Source organism: Homo sapiens, chromosome 1 (assembly GCF_000001405.40).
Source record: "Homo sapiens chromosome 1, GRCh38.p14 Primary Assembly".
Lineage (NCBI taxonomy): Eukaryota > Metazoa > Chordata > Mammalia > Primates > Hominidae > Homo > Homo sapiens.
Window position 1 is genome coordinate 234,149,468 of NC_000001.11, and position 16,795 is coordinate 234,166,262.

The window sequence follows — 16,795 nt, forward strand, 5'->3', positions numbered from 1 at the left end:
TGATACTGTAACTATGACATTTACATGAATGACTTCAACGCAGTCCTGTGGTCCCTAGAATACCCTAACAGCTGTACTCCTATCCATCAGTTCATCCCTGATGGCTTCCTCCATGAACCAAAGAGAGGCATCCCTAATCCTATGAATTCCTGGACATCTGTTTCATATGCTCTTTTCTTCCTGCCCTTAAAAAACGCCCTGAGAGCTATGTTTCATGTTTGATATTTTCAAAAGAATATAAGCTGTCTCAGATCATTGGCCAAATCCTGTGGAATCAGGAGCATGCTTTTCTTGTGACTACATATTACTTTTAATTTTTCTATTGGAAGTCAGTTCAATAGAGAGAAACATGCCAAAAATGTAAATAAGAAAATGCTTTGCCATTCAAAATGTATTTAACTGCCCAGAACAGTCCAATCTCAGGCCAACCCAACGGTACCTGGAAACCAGATCCTTCCAGCAGGGCTGGTGATTAATGTGCTACAGGATGCATTTTGTGCTTTCTCCAGAGAGGTTCCTCATGTTGATCCCTTGCCATAGAAAGGTGCAAATCACCAGTGATTCCCACACATCCTTATCCCATAGACTTTGGCTCCAACCAGCAAGCAAAGCTGCCTTCTGAGAATTTTTGCTCATCCAATCCTACTACTCAAAATGAAAACTTCTAGGAAACTAGATTTATCCTCTAAAGGTTCAGCTAATTGTCCGCATTTAAATTGTGCTCAAATGGAAGCGGTAATTCTCTACACTTGCTGAGGCAGAATATGTATGAATGTAAACTCACTGTAAATAAAGCAACCAATTTCCTTGAGCTTCTTAAGGAGAAGACTAATTTGGTGACCCAAATTGTGAGGAAGAGTGTTGTTGGTTTGAAGACCTCGGAGTAGGAAGGCCTGGTGACTGTGTCTTTCTCTGGGCCTTTTTATTTCCAGCCGATGCTACACCATCATCTTATACATTTTTGTCAGGTCTGTGTGTCTGTACCTTTTCTAATTCTGTGCTAAGTATATTTAAGTAATCTCCATGTAATGCTAACATTTTTAAAAAATGTTTGTTCCCTTTACTTTTCATCCCTTATCTTACCTCTCATATCTTATCTCATTGGATAAGCTCATCAAAATAGATCCCATGTCTGCTATGCTACAGTCTACCTCTGGCTGCCGAAAGGTCAGACAGGTATGGAGAGGATTCTGGGACGATGGTAGCAGAGGCAGTGTCGTTTTTCCATTCTGTCTATATTCCTACATTAAAATAAAGCAACTAAATAGCAAAGACAAAAGCCCAGGAACATTTGTAACAAAACCCGATGAAAATATATTCCCGGCACCCCAGAATACAGACCACCAGCAAGCCACAGGGCCTGCCTGGTGTCTGTGGGGGAAAGAAAGAAGCAATGATGGACCCAGTGTTGGCAGTGACTGAGGGAACTGAGAACAAAAGGACCCAAAATTGCCATCAGGAATTCCCAGGAAAGAACAGAGTACTTTAAGAAGCACGCTAAAACTGGATGGGGTTCTGCTGACTCCAATACCAGGTCAGTGTAAGAGGCTCAGGGCAAGAAGGACTGAAGGATCCAGAGCCTTCGAGCCCTATGGACACTAGAAACTGGCCCAGCAGAGCTCCCTCCTGGGATGGGGCCCACACTGAGGAGGGGCTGCTGGGATGAGGTCAGAATTGAGCAGGATGGGGACAAACAGAAAGGAAGAAAAAATAAATTCCAGACCAAAGCCAGGGAGGGAGATAGAGCCAGGAAATCCCAGAAAGCAAGCTGCCATTTACATAAACTATCAGAAAAAAAAAAACAGAAGAGGAAGCTCAGTGGAGCTAGCATGACTTTCCTGAGCCCCATCTCATTCAAAAAGTTTAGAAAAATCAATTTCACAGGAAAATGAGCATGAGAAAAATATTAAAGTAAAATCCCAGGCTAAGTTATTATAAGAAAAAGGAACCCAAGGGGCAGAATAAAAACTCTACACAATGAAAGTGTGACGGAAAAATGTGCCCACAAATTGAACAAAACTGAAACCTGGCATTTCAAAATGGTAGAAAATTATATAAGATGTGAAAAAAAAAACCATAAACCAGAATTAGCAAAACTCAGAAATGAGGAAAGAGTTCAAAATAAAAGAAAAAGTCATTTCAAAAATTAAGATTAAACTAGAAGAAACTCAAGAGCATATAAACGTAGCGTCGTGCCTTAAGAGAAATAAAAGGTAAAAAGGATTCTAAAAGTTAAAAGAAATGAAATGATTTTTACAAAGTGAGAGAAACTGACAAATATTGAAGATGGGCAAAAAGATCAAACATACAGCTCATAGTAGTTCCTTACAGGATTAAAAACCCCACAAAATCCAAAGCAATGGAACAAAACAAATACTGAAAACTATAATTCAAGAAAACTTTCCAGAAATAAAGAAAAATTGAAATTGCATATTTAAAGAGCATTTTATACCTTAAGGGATTTCTGTTTGCCGTATGGTTGATCGTTTTGCCCACCTTCAATATTTGTCACCTTCTCTCCCTTTTTTTTTATCATTTCATTTCATTTTAACTTTTAGAATATCTGAGAATAATAACCCCCAAATGACCAAGACCCAGATATTTTCTTGTAAAGTTATGGGAGTTTAGAGAAAAGAAAAAAATTTATTTGACACATAGGAAAAAAAAGTGTATATGATTTTTTTAAATGAAAGAAAAAAGATAATCAATTTTTTGACAGCAGTGCTAAAAGAAAATGGAGTAACATTATTATTATTATTGTTATTATTATTATTATTATTATTATACTTTAAATTCTGGGATACATGTGCAGAACGTGCAGGTTTGTTACATAGGAATACACGTGCCATGGTGGTTTGCTGCACTCATTAACCCGTCATCTACGTTAGGTATTTCTCCTAATGCTATCTCTCCCCTAGCCTCCCATCCACTGACAGGCCCCGGTGTTCCCCTCCCTGTGTCCATGTGTTCTCATTGTTCACCTCCCACCTATGAGTGAGAACATGCAGTGTTTGGTTTTCTGTTCCTGTGTTAGCTTGCTGAGAATGATGGTTTCCAGCTTCATCCATGTCCCTGCAAAGGACATGAACTCATCCTTTTTTATGATTGCATAGTATTCCGTGGTGTATATATGCCACATTTTCTTTATCCATTCTATCATTGATGGGCATTTGGGTTGGTTCCAAGTCTTTGCTATTGTGAACAGTGCTGCAATAAATATACGTGTGCATGTGTCTTTATAGTAGAATGATTTATAATCCTTTGGGTATATACCCAGTAATGGGATTGCTGGGTAAAATGGTATTTCTGGTTCTAGATCCTTGAAAAATCGCCACACTGTCTTCCACAATAGTTGAACTAATTTATACTCCCACCAACAATGTAAAAGCGTTTCTATTTATCCACATCCTCTCCAGCATCTGTTGCTTCCTGACTTTTTAATGATCCCCACTCTAACTGGCGTGAGATGGTGTCTCATTGTGGCTTTGATTTGCATTTCTCTAATGACCAGTGATGATGAACTTTTTTTCATATGTATGTTGGCAACATAAAATTTCATGTTTGTTGGTCTTCTTTTGAGAAGAGTCTGTTTAACCTGCTCAAGTAAAGGAAGTGTCATCCTAGGATTTTATATCAAGTCTAAAGGACATCCACTCTTATCAACATGCAAAAACTCAAGGAATATTGTTCTCATGAACACTTCCTAAAGAATCTTCTGGAAACCAAGCTTCAGACAATCACATGACTAGAGAGACCCTAATAGTAAGAACTGGTGTGGAGCATTACAGTAAGTGGGGCAGGCTCAGACAGTATAGTGTATCTGTGCTCTCACAATATAGATACAGCCCAGTGATAAAAATGGAGGAACAGGTGGCTCATGCCTATAATTCCAGCACTTAGGGAGGCCAAGTTGGGAGGACTGTTTGAGGCCAGGAGTTCAAGACCAGCCTGGGCAACATAGCGAGACTCTCATCTCTACAAATAATAATAAAATAAAATACAAATGGGGGAAGAACAAGGAAAGCACATACCAAAATATGTTAATGCTTTCAGTTATCATGTAGGTGGTAGTATTAGGGGTGTTATTCAGAGGCTGTTGAGTAACATAAAACAAATGAGCAATTATGATATACTGTATTTTAGTTGTTTTCCTGGTGTCTTTGAAAACTCACATTCTGGCTGGGCACAATGGCTCACACCTGTAATCCCAGGATTTTGGGAGGCAGAGGTGGGCAGATCACTTGAGCCTAGGAGTTTGATACCAGCCATGGGCAACATGGCAAAACCCCATCTCCACTAAAAATACAAAAACTAGCTGGGTGGGGGCCGGACGCAGTGGCTCACGCCTGTAATCCCAGCACTTTGGGAGGCTGAGGCGGGCGGATCACGAGGTCAGGAGATCGAGACCATGCTGGCTAACCCCGTCTCTACTAAAAATACAAAAAATTAGCCGGGCATGGCGGCAGGCGCCTGTAGTCCCAGGTACTCGGGAGGCTGAGGCAGGAGAAGGCGTGAACCCAGGAGACGGAGCTTGCAGTGAGCCGAGATCACACCACTGCACTCCAGCCTGGGCAACAGAGCGAGACTCCGTCTCAAAAAAAAAAACAAAAAACAAAAAACTAGCTGGGTGGGGTGGTATATGCCTGTAGTCCCAGCTACTTAGGAGGCTGAGGTGGGAGAAGTAAAGCAGAAAGTGACAAATGAGCTCAGGAAGTAGAAGCTGCAGTGAGCTGTGATTACGCCACAGCACTCCAGCCGGAGCGATAGAGTGAGACCCTGTCTCAAAAAAAGAAAAGAAAACTCACATTCACAGGGCACAGGAAAGGAGCTCAGATGTAATGGGGGAAGTTAAGCACACACCCTAATGTCTTGGAATTGAATTGGAAATCTCAATATGAACTCATAAAATATTTTATGTATGTGTCCATCTATCTATTGGCATACAAATATTTCTTAGTTCAACTGCCAATCCAGTAGCAGTGAGCATTCCTCACCCACTAATAGAAACCAACCCTTCTTGGAGAAACAGTTGCTTCCAAGTCTAAGCCGGAAATGTGTAAGATGAGCCTGGGATCTCTTATAATACCAGGGAGCCGGGAAGTTATCAGAGGCCACAGGGGTCAGGCAGGGGAGCACAAATTTGATGTCTGGCATTCTCCTTCCCCCAATAGTTTAAATAGTTATCATAACTAAAATTTTAAAAATCAAATACGTGTCAGAATTCCTTACATTTACTTTTGATCAGCAAATGTTAATAATGTAGGCATGGGATGCCACCATAATCTTTTTAGTAGTTAGTATTTCTAAAGGTTTTACTCCAGCCTCCTTCAGGCCTACCCAAGAGCCCTCCTTGATCCAGAATTTAGAGGCTCCTGCCTGATGTAATGACAAAAGAAATCCACCAGGGGGAGAGATAAGCAAGTATGTAAATCATCCATCTATATCCGGGGGCGATTTGACTCCAGGACTCCCAGAGATACCAAAATTCCAGGATGCTCAAGTCTCTTAGGCAAAATGATGTGTTATTTGTATATAACCTATGCACATCCTCCATATACCTGAAACCATCTCTAAATTACTTATAATACCTAACACAATGTAAATGCTATGTTAATAGTTGTTATGCTGTATTTTTTACTTCTATTATTATTTATTGTTATTTTTCTTTTTTGTTCAAATATTTTCAATCCGTAGTTGGTTGAATCTGTGTATGCAAACTCGTGGATACAGAGGGCTGATTACATAGGGGGAGAATTGATTTATCTGCTTTGTTTCATTGTTTTAAGACAATTTTATTTGAGAGAGAAATATTACTTTGGGACAGATTGTCTAATAAAGGTTTCTACTGGGACTGGTTTCTTAGCCCCTTCTTTTAAAGGATGTTGATAAACTTCCATGTCCTTCTAAGTGAAAACTGCTATTCACCTGATTATTATTATTATTATTATTATTATTTTTGAGAGACAAAGTCTTACTGTTTTGCCCAGGCTGCAGTACAGTGGCACAATCTTGGCTCACTGCAACTTCTGACTCCCGGGTTGAAGCGATTCTCCTGCCTCAGTTTCCCAAGTAGCTGGGACTACAGGCGTGCCTTAAAAGATTTTAGAATACCTATATTAAACCAGAACAATTAAAATATTGTTAAAATAATGTTACTACCTAAATATACACAGTTTAATGGAAAGGAATAGAAAGTAAGGGATCTAATGACATATAAGAATTAAATGAATGCTAACAATTGCCTGAAAAATTATTGGGGAAAGGATGGATTATTCAAAGATAGGAGAGTTAGAACTCTACTTCACACAATATACCAAAAAAAAAACCCCAAAAACAAAAACCAATAGGGTGGAGTAATTTTTAAATGTAAAAAATAATATTCAATTACTATAAGAAAATATGTTCCATATTTATATATTCTTTTGGTCAGTAAGACTTTTCTAAACATGATACCAAATGTTGAAGCCATTAAAAATATACTGATAAATATATCTGTCTAAAAACTTGAACTTCTATTTGGTGAGGAATACCAAAAAGAAAATTAAAAGGTAAACAACAAATTGGAAAAATTATCTATAACATATACAAATCAAAAGTTTATACTTTTAATATATGAAAAGGTTTCAAAAATAAGACAAAGAACCACCAATGAACACATTAAACATATTTCAAGTTAACAATGTCATGGATAAAAAAAATTAACAATGTCAAGAAATAGAACAAAGGTGATAATTTTTTCCACATTGGATTGGAAAAGATTAAAAAGAACAGTAATACTCGGAGTCTGGGAGAATGTGGTAAAGTTGAAAATCATACATTATTGGCGCAATTACAAATTGGTACGACCTCTCTGGAAGATAATTCCGCGATACGGCTGAAGCCTTTGTAAAGTGCACACACTGTAACCCCGCAGTACCACTTCGAGAAATGTACCCAAAAGCGATCATCGAGTATGCGATATGGTGCACAAAAACGTTCAGGATTAAAAGACAGATAATGTTGGTGAGGATGAGGAGTCGTAACTGTCATGCATTGCTGATGGAAACGGAAAACGGTAAAGACACTTTGGGAAACAGTTGAGCAGTTCCTCAAAAAGCTACAGTTACTTAGAAAAAAGTTTAACTTAGAGAACTCTAAGGGCCTTAGGTGTATATTCAAGAGAAATGAAAACATATACCCACAAAACAATCTTGTATAGGAGTGTTCAGAGCAGCATTATTCATCATAGCCAAAAAGTAGAAATACCCCAGATCTCCATTAACTGATGAATAAATAAACAAAATGTGATATATCCATACTTTTTATTAAGTAATAAAAAGAAATGAAGTACCGATACATGATACAACATGAATGAACCTTGAAAATATGATGATAAGTGAAAGAAGTCTGTCACAAAAGGGCACATGTTGTATAACACCATTTAAATGAGGTGTCCAGATTAGGTAAGCGCAGAGAGACAGCAAGTAGATTAGTAGTTGCCTAGGGTTGAGGAGGGTGGGAAATAGAGAGTGAATGCTAACGGGTACAGAGATTTTGGGAGGAGATGATAAAAATGTTATAAAATTTATTACGGTGGTGATGGTACAACTCCATAATTATGCCAAAAACCGTTGAAGTGTGCACTTTAAGTGGATGAATTGTATAGTATGTATCTTATATCTCAATAAAACTGTAATTTTTAAGATGTTCAGAATGATACTCTTAACAATAGGGGAAAAATCTGTATGTTTTACCTCCTCCCTGCTACCACGTAATCCAAGCCATCATCATCTCATCCTTAGATTATTGCAATGACCTCTTAGCTCGTTTTTCTTTTTTATATTCTCATCTCCTGCAGTCGACTTTCCACGCAGCAGTCGGAGTGACCCTTTTAAACATAAGCCAGATCACGCTGCTGCGCTGCTCAGAACCGTCCGTGGACTCCTACCTCGTGCAATAGCCACTGGGCACTAGTGGCCTGGCGATTACCTCTCTGACATCATCTTCTACTTTGGTGTATATTTAACATATTTCCATATTAATAATTAAAAAAAAGAAGGAAAGGACCCAATTTTATTGAGTTAATTTACATGAGGACGCAATTCTGAAAACACAGTGCAAGCATGGTTGTTTTCTCTCGGGAAAGATTTTGTTTTCAGCATCCATGTCTTCACACGGCACTTGAGCAAGGTGGCGGGGCCCATTTCCTTTGCACATTGTATTCTCCTTGTACTCTGGGTTTTTGAATCATTAACCTCATTGGCTGGCACTTACAGTACATGCAAAGCTGCTGGTGGCTCACGTGCAGAAACTTGATGAAGCACTTAATTCTTAATTTTATATTGTTCTGCATTCAGACCTGATCATGACATTTCTTCACCAGAAATAACTCTGTTGAAAGGAGGAAAAACAGGAAAGTATTTCAGGAGGCATGTTGTTTGACTTTTTTTTCTTTTGGTACATACGTCAATATTTTGTGATTTTCCATACTTCCCAATAAAATGGCCTCTGAAACCTTGCAGGTGTATTGACTCTTAGCTTGTTTCACAGCCATTTATGAGTCGATTCAGCCAGTCATCTACTTCCGGGACTCATCTTCACTAAATCATGACTTTAACTTTAGCCTCTCCTTTGTTTCTGGGGTTGAGAAGTGATGGTTCAGATTTCAAACAAGATTCTTGTTTCTTGCATTTGGACCTAATGTGGGTGAGGGAATAACTTCATTTTCTCCATTCCGTTAAATCGTGTTAGTCCTGCAAGCCATCTTATTGCTTCTAACTAATCTGCATAATTATTTCTACTAACAGAATTACCTAAAAATAGTTTTAATTGCTTTCCTTGTTGCAAAACTAATACATATCTATTGTAAAAAACTTCAGAAGATATGAATAAGCAAAGTTATCTATAACTTTACCCCAACAATGGGATAGTTGTCTATCCTTTCAATACTTATAGTTTTGCTTACATTAAAAATTGAGTTATTTTCTATAATACTTTATTATTTCTTCACTGAAAAATAAATACATATTGAATACTTTCTGCCACATATTTTTACATCATAGACATTTCTATATCATTTTTCATCACTGTCTAGTATTTGTTGGTGTGGACATACTATAATCTACTATAATCTCCTATCATTGGGTATTTAGTTTCTAGTTTTTCATGATCATAAGGAAGCTTTGTTATAAACATTCTTCTGGTTTAATATTTGCATACCTTCATGATTTCCCTAGTATCAACTCCTAGACATGGAATTGGTTGTCAAAAAGCATGTGCATATTTAAGACGTTCCCTGTATTTTGCCAAATAATTCATTCTCTTTGTATTTTGTCAAGTACATTACCTGTGGTGGACAAAAGATCTGAGAACAGTGAACTAAGAAATATATGTAATCACTGCTTTATAAGATATTAGAAAAGAACCCTCCCTTTTTTGTGCTTTATAGATAAGAAAACTAATGAACAAAGGAGATTTTTCCCCATAGTAGACCATACTTTTATGAAATAAATAATAAAGATATTTAGAGTTTTTTGTTGATCTGTTGAACTTTGGAACAATGTTTCACTATTTTTTTAATGGAACCCACTTTTGCTTCATACCAGGACTGCATGGGATCTCTAATACCCAGAGCATTATAGATGTTATAGAATTTTCTCAGTGCAAGACTCTTCACACACACGAATGTGAAGTTTGTGGAAGATGTGCAACATGTTTAAGATGAACATTTACTAACTGAGACCTAAACCCACGCATGCCATTCTCAGTATTTCTAAGAAACTAACCCTTGCCAAGGAAAACAAGCAGTAAGAAGACCTACTGGCACTTCAGACACTTAAGAACCTACATAGGCTGGGCACGGTGGTTCACGCCTGTATCCAGCACTTTGGGAGACTGAGGTGGGTGGATCACCTGAGGTCAGGAGTTTGAGACCAGCCTGGCCAACATGGTGAAACGCCGTCTCTACCAAAAATATAAAAATCAGCTGGGCGTGGTGGCAGGTGCCTATAATCCCAGCTCCTCAGGAGGCTGAGGCGGGAGAATCACTTGAACCCGGGAGGCAGAGGTTGCAGTGAGCCGAGATCACACCACTGCACTCCGTCTCAAAAAAAAAAGAACCTATATGGAGAAGAAACTTTTGCCAATAAAAAAGTACTGAAGTAACATTGCCTTGGGAATTCTCAGATAGGCTTTACAAACTGGAGCCATCAATGTCTCACCCCCTTTGGTCACCCTCTTTGTAATCTCATAATCAAAATTTTGTTTCACATCTGGAATTTTCCTTCTAGAGTGTAATTTGTAGGCAAGGGATTCATCCATGCCTTCATTCCCTCACTCATTCAGTTGTGTATTTACCCTCATGGTCTAGGTGGGGATGCTAAAAATAATCACTACACAATCATGGCAGAAATGACCTGAAAAGTATACCTTTATCAGGCCCTTTGTGTCTGGACTAATTTCTCGTAAGATTTTAGACCTGTATATGTTGCAGGAATCACTGGTGCCAAAGACCTACTTGAGGACAATGGGGCATAGAGAAGTTAAAGAGACACAGAGGACATTTTTCATGCACTCAAACCTGCCTCCTTCATTTACTAGGATCATTAATATCTGTTGATAGGATTTGGATTCAAGGATAAAGTCCTATATTTCTCCATCAAGGGCCCAGCCTCACACCATATAGGCTAATGGCAATTGCCATGAAAACTCAATATCCTCACTAAGCATACATGATTATCTTTGAGGACAGAAATATATAGCAGGCCTACACATAACAATTTTAAAAATAGCACCCCTGCTCTTCTTCCACTGCCGTTAATGTTGAAGTTTCAGGCCAGCATCAACCCAGGAGCCATGAAGGACTCAGGGCTGTACTTGCAAGAAAGTTAGAGAAGACCCAGGCAGCACAACAGCGTTGTTGGAGACAAGGCTGTTCCAGTCTTTTGCTATAGGAGCAACAGTGGCTCTGGAACTCAAGGCCTCAACTCCAAAGGTGAAGCTAATGGCTCCACCTCTGTCCAGGGAGAACCTAGAGACTTCACTTGTGGACTTCCCCTTTGAGTTGGGTTAAATATGGATCACCCAAGCCAGGGTACAAGAAGTGTCAGAAAGACACTATTCCTATTACGCCAGGACAATAAGCACAGGCCAGGACTGTCCAGGGCAACCCAGGACATATGGTCACTCTACTTACAGTGGTCCCCAAGTCTTCTTGAGGCTCTTGGTCCCAGCTAACCAAGAGCATCAGGAAGCACTGAGCCCCTTGTTAACCCAAATGATTGACTAGCCAACAGTCCTAGTCCCATCTTCATGAGACCCTATGGCTTTCGCTGCAGCTGTTCTCTGCTCTGTGAGGCAACTTTAACCCAAGTGTACATGTCATGCATATTGGACACACATCAAAGCTGAAGCACAGTTATCACTTATAAAATTGGGTATCTTTTCTCTTTGTGTGGATCAACATCTGTCTTTGTCAACAATGCCATGTATGTCATCCATAAAATGCTAAATTAATAGGGTCAGGCTCTTCCTCCATCTCTCTTGGATCCAGGCTTTCCTGCTTCTCTCCATTTCTGTGACCCTCAGTGACGATGGCCCAGGCTCCAGACACTGCAGCTGCTTTGTAGTGTCACCCTGCTCTCAGCACTCACCTTCCACTCATACTGTCATTCTGCACTCAACAGGAAGAATTACCAGCCTTGGTTCAGTTACTTTTTGTGATTTACTCTGTGCCAGCCACTAGGCTAAGTGTTTTCACTTGTTGTCTCACTTATCTCACAATGGCCTTCCGAGGTAGGCAGTATTATGATCCCAACTTTACAGATGGAGGAAAGAAGCATAGAAATGTGAAGTACCTTGCTCGAGATCAAATTGGTAGTAGATTCTGGGGCGAGGATTTTAATCCAAATCTGTCTTTCTGCAGAGGTTGATGCTACACTGCACTTAGAGCTACACTATGCTGCTTCCCATCTTTTTGGCAAATTATGCCTCTTCCTGGGCTCTTCTAGTGACTATCCATCAAAACTCCTTGAGGCCAGGCACAGTGACTCATGCCTGTAATCCCAGCTCTTTGTGAGGCCAAGGCAGGCAGATCACTTGAGCCCAGGAGTTTGAGACCAGGCTGGAGAAACCCCATCTCTACAAAAAATACAAAAATTTTCCAGTTGCTAGCAGCTGGAAAATGTAAAACAAAAAATACGTATATAAAACTTAGCGAGGTGTGGTGGCATGCACCTGTTGTCTTAGCTACTAAGGAGGCTGAGGTGGGAGGATCACTTGAGCCTGGGAGGTTGAAGCTGCAGCGAGCTGTGATCGTGCCACTGCACTACAGCTTGGGTGACAGAGTGAGACCCCATCTCAAAAAAATATATATCAAAATACTTTGGCTTGTGCATAAACTTCAGGGCCCAACCCCCTGGGCACCCTTTCTGGATCTCCCGCTGAATGCAAGATTTGATGTGTACTTTCCTCCCCTCTCCCACCCATTTATGGCCTCAAAGAGATACTGCAGCCTAACCCCCTGCCCCAGTTCGTATCTAAGCACAGGTCCCTTGGGCCACCCTTGCTGCCACCCAGGTCTAATCGACCTGTGCTGTCTAGGGCTCACCCCTACCTCTTTACTGATTTACCCTGCAGCAGGGCTCGCCATTGCTGGGAGAAAACCCATAAGTTCTTGACCCTCCTGAGATGTGCTCCTCGGTGCCAGCCCAGCCTGTGGTGTAGATTCATGGTGAAATCCAACATAGAGAGGACTTGCCACTGGTCAGTAGCAGGGTGTCCCATGGAGTGTGGGAAGTCTGTGGCTACGATGCTGTGTCCTCCCTCTTGGAGAAGCTCAGAGTGGCTTCTCTTCCCTGCCCCACTCTCATCCCCATATCCTCAAGTGAAGAGGAGGATTTCATGGATTCCAGGAACATTCAACTAAGCCTCTGTGCAAAAAAAAAAAAAAAAAAAAAAAAAAAAAGCAATCTTTAACAGAAGGTGGAGAGGGATTATAAGTGGAACCTGGGCAACACCTGCTTCAGTTCCTTTCCCCTTCTAAGGAAGGCTGTCTCTCCTGTATAGCTGGTGTGACAGGGCAGGACTGGGTCCAGACCACTTTCTCCTTGCCCCCCTCACCCCTCCCTCACCTAGCTCACCTCTGCTCTCCCCAGCCCAGCCCCTCACATACCAAAGCCCAGCAGAGCTTAGAGTGAGCAGATTTCTCTTTACTTGACCTATGTAGCCATTGAAGCCTTAATACCTCAAGGCCTTAGAAAAAGGAACCAAGGATATCAGAGCAAAAAAGTCAAAGGGATGATTAAGACTCAGTCCAGCTTGCTGGCAGGATGGCAGATGATAAAGGGCCTAAGCCAGACAGTAATGAACCCTGTCTGTTTGCCTGGGGTTCCCTGTGCATATTTCTCTCAGGAATTCAAGGTGTGAAGATAGCTTAGTCATTGCCAAATTCTTCCTAATTCATAGAGAGGGTACCCAGCATGCAGCTTCCCCTGGGTAGTAACACTCTGCCAAAAGTAGATGCTCTAAGAATGTTGATGGTAAAGAAGAATCATGACCTAGGTCCCACTCTGCCCATGTCTGTAAAGACTCCACTCTCCATCACAGCTCCCACAGCTCCTTGCACAGACCGTTTTGCTCTTTGGGGAATTTCTCCCTCTCCCTTGAAGGTTGCTCAGTGCCTATACCCAGAAGGACTACCCCATTTCTAAGACATCACAAAATTTTGAACTTTCATCAGTTTTGGTTTTTTCTTGCAGTATTTGGTATTTCCGCAAGGTACATCATACAATACACCTTAGATGTTGATGTTAGTACCTTCCTTCTCTCGTAAGTACCCACATGCCTCGGTGATGCAGTGCACCTCTTGTTTGCTGGATTCTGAGTGTTAGGGAGAAAGAGGAGGGAAGTCATGTGATAGGTGGCACAGGGAAAGAGTTACACACAGAATGGGACAGAGGAAGGCGGAGACAAAGACAGACGTCCTGTAGAGCAAGATCTGGGTTGCTGAGACAGAGTGAGTGAGTGAGTGAGTGAGAGTGTAAACAGGTGACTCCAGCCCAGTGTGTTCAGTGATGGAGGGAGAAGGGCAAGGAAAACAAATGGTGAGTGAGAGGGCCCAGCTTGCCATGCCTGAGGGAACTGCAGACTGGGGCTGCTATGCCTGTCCATTTGATATGAAACACTTCCCTCTTGATAGACTTCCAAGAGCAAATGCTTTCTGTAGAGAAGAACATGCACCCAACAGATGGATGTTTCAGTGCCCATCAAACAGCCTTATTTTTAAACTCATAGACTAAGTTTGGCAAAGCTCTTTCTCTCTCTCCAGAGCTACCCTGTGAACCTGACTTTGATTCTCTTCCAGATCTGCCATGCCCTCCTCCTACGGGGTTTCCCCTTTTGCTGCACCTCTCTCTGAGAAACATTTCACTTCTCTTTGCTCAGTGCCGAGGAGTGAAAGAACTTATTCAGTAACTGTCAGATTTCTTATCCCAATTTCAGGAATAAAAGGAATATTTCTTCTCAAAATAAAATAGAAGAAAAAAATATCTCCTTCCTAATGCAAAAAAAAAGCAAATTAGAATGTAGCAGAGACTGTAGAAGAAAAAGAAGAAATATGGATTGTAGAAATAGCTCTGTCTCTCTCCCTCTCTCTCTTTCTCTCTCTCTCCTCTACCTCTCTCTCCTTCTCTTTTTCTCTTTCTCTGCTTTCGCTCTTCCCCCTACCCTGCCTCCCTTGCTTTTCTCTTTCTCCTTTTCTATTTCTATCTATTTCTTTATCTTTTTCTGTCTCCTTTTCTCTTTCTCTTTCCCATCTCCCTCCCTTACTCCCTCCCATTCTCTCTCCCTCTTTCTCTTTCCCTCTCTTTCTCTCTCCCTATCTCTCTCCGTCTTTCTCTCTCCCCCCTCCCTCCTTCTTTCCCCTCTCTCCTCAACTTCTTTCCCCTCTCTCTCCCCGCTCCCTCCCTCTTTCTTTTTCCTCTCCCTCTCTTCCTCTCTCCTCTCCTGTTTTCTCCTTCCACATACCCCAGGCTTGTGAGTAGCAGCTGAGCAAGTACCATCCACCACCTTGCAGTCACTCCAGGCACAGTCATTGGAAGGGCGGCCACGTGGCTTGCACAGACAGTGATACTTAAAATACAGACATCAAAGCTGTTGGTTTGTTGTTTTTACCTTCTTGTCTAACAGTATGCAGGGTCACCTACCTCCTGCTGGCCCATCACAGCTAGCAGGAATGAAGAACAAGTCCTCCCATGTGAATGAGACATCAGAGCAATTTACCATGGCACTCTGTAAACATTGCTGGGACTTTTCTCAAGGAGAGTTGTGTTTAGCCATTACTGAGACTGAGAAAGATATTTTTCTGACATTTTGCAAAATGATACTGTGATTTGGGTGGGGGGGGGGGTTGGCACAGAGACATTATTTCCTGTGTTTTGGAAAAATAAGATATTGTCTGTAAACAGACAAGTGTTTGAGCTGTTGACCAAACTCTACCATAAATGACTGTAGTACCAACATGCTATAGTTGGGACTGCTTTGGTGAAAGGGCTGCTCAGTTGATTTCATGGTCAGCTTACCTCTAGCTTCAATTTGTGTGTGTGTGTGTGTGTGTGTGTGTGTGTGTGTGTGTGTGTGTGTAAAATAAAACTTTATTTGCAAAAACAGGCTACTTGCCTGAGTAGCATTAGTATATAGTATATATAGCGTATATATAGCATTGAATATAGTTACGGCTTGTTTAAATCTCAGAGTTGACTTTGTAGCATAGATTAAAGGAAAGCACTTAAATTTGCTTATGAGTAGATATTATTCCATGTCAGCAAAGGAGTTTATTTAACATGTCTGTTTCATTCTGTCATCATCTGGTTTTATCCTCTCTCTTATAATTCAGTCGCTATTATGAAGGGCTCTGTGTGTCCTGCTCATTTGCTAGAGAGAGAAGAAAGGCAAAAATCAAATTTTTTGTAGAGAGAGAAGGTCTCCCCTTTCAGTTGAATACAGTTGAATTCAAAAGAATTCAACATGAACAAGTTATACATTAGAAAATATATTCATAAAATAGTGGATCTCAAAACGTTTGGTCTTAGAACCTCTTTACATTATTTTTTCTCCCTTTTTGTGGAGAATGGGATCTTGCTATGTTGCCCCAGCTGATCTCAAATTCCTGGGCTCAAGCCATCCTCCCACCTCTGCCTCCCTATGTACTGGGATTACAGGCATGAGCCACCACACCTGGCTCATTCTTTTTTCTTTTTAATTTTGATTTTTTTATTTCAATAGCTTTAGGGGTACAAGTGCTTTTAGGTTACATGGATGAAATTTGTGGTGGTGAAGTCTGGGATTTTAGTGTACCCCTCACCCAAGTCGTGTACATTGTACCCTGTGGGTAGTTTTTCATCCCTCATCCTCCCTTCCTTCTGAGTCTCCAGTGTCCATTACACCACTCTAGCTGCCTTTGCGCACTCATAGCTTAGCTTCCACTTGTAAGTGAGAACATGCGGTATTTGGTTTTCCATTCCTGAGCTACTTTACTTAGAATAATGGCCTCCAGTTCCGTCCAAGTTGATGCAAAAAATATTATCTTGTTCTTTTTTATGGCTGAGTAGTATTCCATGGTGTATATATAACCGCATTTTCTTTATCCACTCATCAGTTGATGGGCACTTAAGTTGATTCCATGTCTTTGCAACTGTGAACTGAATTTTTTAATAGACTTTAGAGTAGTTTTAGGTTCAGAGCAAATTGAGCAGAAAGTACAGAGAGTTCCCATATACCTCCTGTCCCCACACAGACACAGCCTCCCACACTGTCAACA

General features: G+C 40.8%; 1 protein-coding gene across 1 annotated transcript in view, besides 1 other annotated feature; it reads left to right on the top strand.

Annotated features, from left to right (window-relative positions):
• The window catches only part of SLC35F3 (solute carrier family 35 member F3), a 419,836-nt gene that overhangs the window by 244,792 nt on the left and 158,249 nt on the right, over positions 1-16,795 (top strand). The window lies entirely within an intron of this gene.
• Positions 3,952-4,453: an enhancer, noted in NCBI's record as "H3K4me1 hESC enhancer chr1:234289165-234289666 (GRCh37/hg19 assembly coordinates)". NCBI's record gives its function as "activates a minimal SCP1, AML or CMV promoter by ChIP-STARR-seq in primed H9 embryonic stem cells {active_cell/tissue: H9 hESC(primed)}" and the evidence as "EXISTENCE:reporter gene assay evidence [ECO:0000049][PMID:30033119]".